The 7,382-nt window shown below is 39.8% G+C and overlaps 1 annotated feature.

Annotated features, from left to right (window-relative positions):
• Positions 480 to 1,127: an enhancer, noted in NCBI's record as "OCT4-NANOG-H3K27ac-H3K4me1 hESC enhancer chr8:132404673-132405320 (GRCh37/hg19 assembly coordinates)". NCBI's record gives its function as "activates a minimal SCP1, AML or CMV promoter by ChIP-STARR-seq in primed H9 embryonic stem cells {active_cell/tissue: H9 hESC(primed)}" and the evidence as "EXISTENCE:reporter gene assay evidence [ECO:0000049][PMID:30033119]".

Below are 7,382 nucleotides of genomic sequence, written 5' to 3' on the forward strand. Positions count from 1 at the left end.
TTTCTTACAATAATCCTAGGAGATAAGTTCTATTATCACCCTCATTTTGAAGAAGATAAAATTGTGGCACTGAGTAATAAAGTATTTTGCCCAAGGTCATAAAGATAAGAAGTGGCAGAATTAGGATAAAAATTGGGGAGCCTGACTCCAGAACTCTGTTCACACCATATGACCTCCGTAATTCCCGTCCGTAACATGTACGGAAGATGTGGAAAGTTGGAGTGGGTGTTCCTTCCAGCATAAGGTTTCTGATGTGCTTTCTTTGCGGACAGTTTGAAGGCTGCGAGTGTGTGCACACGCACGCGCACACACACACGCACACACACACACACACACGCACACACACACCACCCAAACTTTCCCTTTTGGGCTCTTGGAGCCTACCCTCGCTGGCTGTACTGTTTCAAGGTGTTCTGTGGAGGCTGCTCTTGGTTTCACAGCCATCTGCTTTGTTTCCTCCAGCTGCAGAACTGTAGACAGAGATGCGTTTATTTTTGGTAGTATGTATTTTCTGAGCTGAAACCAATGCAGGCTGCTGTCCAGATCCTCTGAAAAATCACTTCAACCAGCTCTAAGAATGGCCAACTGATTTTTCTTTAGTATCTCATTTTAAACAATAAGTTGATGGAAGAAGAAGTGAAACTACCTGAACAAAGTAATTAGGATGGAAAATTCCCTGAACCTGGCCAATTATGTCAGTTTTGCATAATAATAACTGCACAATAGGCTCCTTATAGCCCTGCTATTTAGTGCCATTTAGTTTCCCCAAGGTGTCATGCTGTTTCCTGCTTCCATGTTTTTACATTTGCTGAATGCTTTGTCTTTTTTTTTTTTTTTTTTTGAGACAGAGTCTCGCTCTTATTACCCAGGCTGGAGTGCAATGGTGCGATCTTGGCTCACCTCCGCCTCCCAGGTTCAAGGGATTCTCCTGCCTCAGCCTCCCAAGTAGCTGGGATTACAGGCATGCACCACCATGCCCAGCTAATTTTGTATTTTTAGTAGAGACTGGGTTTCTCAATATTGGTCAGGCTGGCCTTGAACTCCCAACCTCAGGTGATCCGCCCACCTTGGCTTCCCAATGTGCTGGAATTACAGGCGTGAGCCACTGCACCTGCCCTGAATTCTTTGTCTTAAAAATATCTCCCCAAACCCTTGTCTACTGGGAGATCTCCTATAACAAGATTTCCTCTCCACTCTTAACCCCTTGAGGGCTTCCCTAATGGCCTCCTTGCCAGGTCAGTTAAATTCTAGGTTAAAATTTAATACAGATGTTAAATTCAGAAAAACTTAACACTCTAACTCTAACTCAATTTTACTAATTGTTAGCTTTTGAGATTGGTTAAAGTTGTCAAAATTTTCTGAGGTTTGGTATCCTTCTCCTTGAAAGGAGCACTGTAATATAACGTGTCTCATAACCTAGTTGCGAAGATTTATGCAAGAAGAAAACATAATATAAGTGATAAAGCAGTGCCTGCTATGAATATGTTCCCAGTAAATACTTTTAAAGGAATAAATAAAAGAAAGTGGTTAGCACACAGCCTATACACAACAACTGCTTAACAAACTTTATTTATTCTTAGCGCATTATCTGTTAACTACTGTCCCACAATGAGCATTATTTGTGGGAGTCTCTAATTGTCACTGCTGTATTTGTAGAAATTGCCGTAGTACATGACACGCAGAAAACCTTTCATTTATAGGTAACTTTTATAGATAACCTTTCATTTATAGATAACTTTTCACTTTAATATATGAATAATACAGGGTGGTCACAGGAGAATAGAAAATTCCAGGCCGCAGTCTCACATGACTAGCAAAAAGGTAACAGTTGAAATAGTTGCATACACTAGAGAATGATAAAACCCTGAAAAACAGAATGGGGGCCAAGCTGGCTGAGACCAGCTAGACCCAACATGGAGCTAGATTTGACCTAGATTTCACCTAAAACCTCATTATACTCCCATTACCATACTAAATTACACACCCATTAGTGCTATGACAGTTTCAGGAACACCGATATTTGGTATGAAAATGGGTGGCACCATAGTTACATGAAATCTTTATCTTTTTCAAGAAATCTTCATGAATATGACTCCCCTTGGTTAAATAAACCCATAGAGATAGATGCCCCAAACCCCACGGGGCACAACTCACTCTGTTGAGTATACTCACATTCCCCTTTCTTGAGTGTGTACTTTCATTTTGCAATAAATCTCCATACTTTTGCTATTTTATGACTTGTCCTTGAATTCCTTCTTGGAATGGTGTCAAGAACCTGGATACCAGCTGAAGTTGAGTTCCCACTGACATTTGGGGACCTGCCTTAGCCCATCAACTTAACAAATAGTTTTTCATATGTTTATTTTGATTGTTACTTCCACTTGAAGCGGTAGGAATTATATTGTCACTAATTTACATGTGATAAAACTCTGAACCACAGGGAATAAAGATACTTTCTTTAATTAAAGTTGGTAAAAACTAGATTAGAACTTGGGCCCAATGCTCCAACTGAATGCTTTCTGCATTTTCGTAGAAGAATTAATCCAATTTGGATTTGCAGGGACTTTACACATCACCTACACTAACTGTCCTCATTTTATATGTATTGTCCGGGAAAAAGGGACCTGCCCAAACTCACATAGCCACTTTGAAGTGATTGCATTTTGTGAATAATCCAATAGCTCAAGGATGAAAGACTAATTTATTTTGATAAATAAACCAAATTGTTGATAAATAAATTGAATTACTGCTACTCACCAGTCTAAATGGGTTGTGCTCAGAAATGCTAAATATTTATGGCCGACAAGAAAAAATTGAATTCATTTATGTCTCTTTTAATAAACTGGATACCTCATGTAGAATAATTGCTACTTTTACTCACAGTATTTGAATACTGCGCATTACTGAGTCATAGTTTAGTTAATGCCTGATTTCAGTTGGCAACATGCTATTTATGGAAGAAAATAAAAGACTGTAATGTTTAGAATTTGAACCAGTCTTTTATTCTTTGAACTTTGAATGCATATGATTGGAGAATTTAAAAGCTCTAACCTAGATTCAAGTAAGAGAAAACTGATCCATTGAAAAAGGCAGAGTGTGTGATTGGGTGTTTATCCTCTATAATAGCATCCCCATTCAGTGACACGTTTCACAAGTGCTTGCCTGTGTCTGGATGAGGAACCTCTGCATTTTCAAAAACTCTTGTTCACAACTCAGAAACATTTAGTATTGCTTTCTGTCAATAGAAGATAGGGTCGCATTTAACTGCCTTCAGGCTGGTTTGATGATTATTGTAAATCTGCTGCATGGAAAAAAATGACTTAGATTTTCTCCTTAGTACAATAAATGGTAGTCCCTCCTTAACCAGGGTTTTACTTGCAGTGGTTTCAGTTACCCAAGGTCAGCTGTGGTCAGAAAATATCCAATGATAAATGCCAGAAATAAACAATTCATAAATGTTAAATGACATGCCATTCTGAGTAGCGTGATGAAATCTTGCACTGTCCCTCTCCGTTCTGCCTGTGATGTGAATCATCCCTTTGTCCAGCATATCCATGCTGTATATGTTACCTGACAGTGAGTGAGTCACTTAATAGCCCTCCAGGTTATCAGCCCCCCATGTTATCAACCCTCCATGGTACCACTGTCCTGGCATCACAGTGCCTGTGTTCAAGTCACCTTTATTTTCCGTAACACTTCCCTAAAAGCACAAAGAGTAGTGATACTGGCAACTCAAGCCAAAGAGAAGGCTTAAGTGCTCCCTTTAAGAGAAAAGGCAAAAGTTCTCAACTCAATGGAAAGAAAAAAATCCTATGCTGGGGTTGCTTAGATCTATGTAAGAAGGAATCATCTATCTATAAAATTGTGAAGAAGGAAAAAGAAATTTGTGCTAGTTTTGCTGTTGCACCTGAAACTACAAAGTCACGGCCACAGTGCATGATAAGGGCTTAAGATGAAAAAAGGCATTAAATTTGTGGGTGGAAGACATGCACAGAAATGCCCTCCAATTGATGACCATCAGGTTCCATACTATCCTAGGTTTGGGGCATCCACTGGGGATCTTGGACTGTATCTCTCGAGGGTAAGAGCAGGGCAACTGTAATGTCCACTTTCTCCCAGGAAGGACACACGCAACAGCATTCACAGAGGAGTCGTGGGAACACACATTTAGCCCAGCAGAATTCAAAGAAGCAGTAAATTCATGACAAGAAGTGAAGTTTGTGGAGATAGAAATCAGGAGACATTCCTTTCAGGGCTGATTTTTTGCCACTAGTGTGCTGTATGGCCAGTAGTCTTATTTGACTATAAAACCATCATTTCCAACCATAGAACCCAAGTTTTGTTCAAGGCTGTCATGAGCCCAGGCACTGAATCATAACAGGAGCAACGATGCCATCCATGACAATCCTGATTCTCTGCACTCAACAACCATATTTCTAGCTCCAATTGCAATTAATGGAGTCTAGTCCTAAGACAATGTTCTCACCAAAATATAAGTAAACAAATTGACAAATAAAGTGAGGGGATATCTGCTGGAGGCTTCTGGGAAATATATTTGACTTTCTGGAACTAACTGGGACTGCACATTGCCATTTCTTATTGCTGAGGAAGTGAATGTCAGGATATAATGCCTAGAGCTGATATAATGATATAACCGTCTCGTATCTGAGGCAGTAAGTATGAAAATAAGAAACCTAACATGCTAAGCATCACAGAAGGGAAAGATGCCAAAAGTCCGCATCTTTGTGGCATCATTGATCTGTGAAGGAACCCTGGGATAGCTTGCTTCCATATTTCTCATTAAGTAAATAATAACTGTCTTTATGATTCAAAACACCAGTGTTTGAACCTTCTGTTACTTGCAGCCAGAAACATTCTAGTTACATTAACAAAATTACTAATTATGTCTCCCCTTTTTCACCTTCATTTCTCCCTCTACCTTATCAGGCTGCAATCAATTTCTTCTTTTACTGACTTTGTACTTGGTATGCATTTCTATTGTTAGAGCTGCTGGCATTAAACTGGATTGTTATAGCCAATTTTAGGAGGTTTTCTCTGGCATCAAAATATGAGTACCAAATTTTATTAATTTGCAATAGATTAATTCAGAGAAGTTGCTGCTCTTTGCTGGGGGTATTATATTTTCCTATTCTACGAATGTCAGGCTTAGTCAAGTGACATGGAATGGGCTGGGTGCAGTGGCTTGCGCCTGTAATCCCAGCATCTGGGAGGCCAAGGTGTGTGGATCACTTGAGGTCAGGAGTTCGAGACCAGCCTGGCCAACATGGTGAAACCCTCTCTACTGAAAATACAAAAGTTATCTGGGCCTGGTGGCAGGTGCCTAATCCCAGCTACTTGGGAGGCTGAGGCAGGAGAATCGCTTGATTCCAGGAAGCGGAGGTTGAGTGAGCTGAGATCGTGCCACTGCCCTCCAGCCTGGGCGACAAGAGCAAAACTCCATCTTAAAAAAAAAAAAAGGACATGGAATGATCCTCTTTGTGATCAAAGAATAATGGTATCCCAAAGATGTTCAGTTCCAAATTTCCAAGGCCTTTCAATATGTTACCTTACATGAAAAAAGAGATTTGAAGATGCTATTCTGATAGCTTTGAAGATGAAGGAAGGGGCTATTTCCCAGGCAGAAGTTACTTCTTCTTCTTCTTCTTTTTTTTTTTTTTTTGAAATGGAGTCTCGCTCTGCAGGCTGGAGTGCAGTGGCAGGATCTTAGCTCACTGCAAGCTCTGCCTCCCGGGTTCATGCCATTCTCCTGCCTCAGCCTCCCGTGTAGCTGGGACTACAGGCGCCCGCCACCACACCTGTCTAATTTTTTTGTATTTTTTAGTAGAGACGGGGTTTCACCATGTTAGCCAGGAGGGTCTCCATCTCCTGACCTCGTGATCTGTCCGCCTCGGCCTCCCAAAGTGGTGGGGTTACAGGCGTGAGCCACCGTGCCTGGCCCCTTCATTTTTAAGGTTGAATTATATTCCATCGTGTATGAATGTGTGTGTGTGTGTGTGTGTGTGTGTGTGTGTGTGTGGTGTGTGTGTGTGTGAAAGAGAGAAAGAGAGAGAGAGAAATTGTGGCATATTTACTTATTGATACATCTATCTGTTGATGAACACTATTATTTCCACATCTTGCCTATTGTGAATAATGCTGCAATGAACGTGGGAGTGCAGATATCTCTTTCAAATGTTGATTTCATTTCCTATGAATATATACCCAGAAGTGAGATTACTGGAACAAACGAATTGATTAACTTGATTAATTTTTTGATAAACCTCTTTATTGTTTTCCATAATGGCAGTACAATTTACTTTCCCTCCAACAGCTCACAAGAAATCCCTTTATCCATATCCTTGTCAGCACTTGTTACCACTTGTCTTTTCGGTAATAGCCATTCTAACAGGTGTGAGGTCATATCTTGTGGTTTTGGTTTGTATTTCCCTGACGGTTAGTGATTTTGAGCACCATTTCATGAATCTACTGGCCATTTGTATATTTTCGTTGGAAAAATATCTATTGAGGTCCTTTCACAACTTTTAATTGAGTTTTTTGTGTTTGCTTCTTTGTTTTTGTTATTGAGTTATATGATTTACTTATATATTTTGGAAATTAACCCCTTATCAGGTATTTGGGTTGCAAATGTTTTCTTCTATTCCATAGGTTGCCTTTTCATTTCATTGATTATTTCCCTAGCTGTGCAAGAATTTTTTTTAATTAATTTATTTTTAAAATTAGTCTGAATAATTTATACTAGCCAATGTCCTTATATCTTAGTGGTTCAACATGATTGAAATTTGTTTCCAGTCTGTGTCACAGTTCTATATAGTTCTGGGGCTCTCATGGTGGCTGTCCTCCAGGAGAGCAACAGCTGAAGGACTCTGATTCCTTCCTTCATGTGGTTCTGATGTCATGGAACCCTTTGCTTCCATCTGCAATAAAGAGCGGAGGAAAAGCATAGTTTTTGCTGTTATTGTCTATCTTACCCTGACCACAATTTCATCTCAACGCCCAAACTTTTTGTGATAAAGTGGGGAATATAGTCTTTTTTTGATGTGGCTAGGAAGAAGAAACAGGACTGGTACATTCAGCTGTGCTCTGCCACACATGTTAACATGTAACTTAGATTCTGTGTTGGGAACAGGCTTATTCCACAATAGAGCCAAAGGGACATTACCATCATTTACAAGTTTATCATTCTATATTGGGAGTATATCCTAAATACATAGAGGGATGTGATGAGATATCAGGGGCAGAACATGTTAAAAAAACAAACCAGAACAAACTAACACATCAAGGGAGAAGTCATTGAGTTCCATGACAGAAGTAAGCCAAGAAGAGGTAGAGCTTGTGTTTGGCCTTAATGGATGAGTAAGGCA

Source organism: Homo sapiens, chromosome 8 (assembly GCF_000001405.40).
Source record: "Homo sapiens chromosome 8, GRCh38.p14 Primary Assembly".
NCBI lineage: Eukaryota > Metazoa > Chordata > Mammalia > Primates > Hominidae > Homo > Homo sapiens.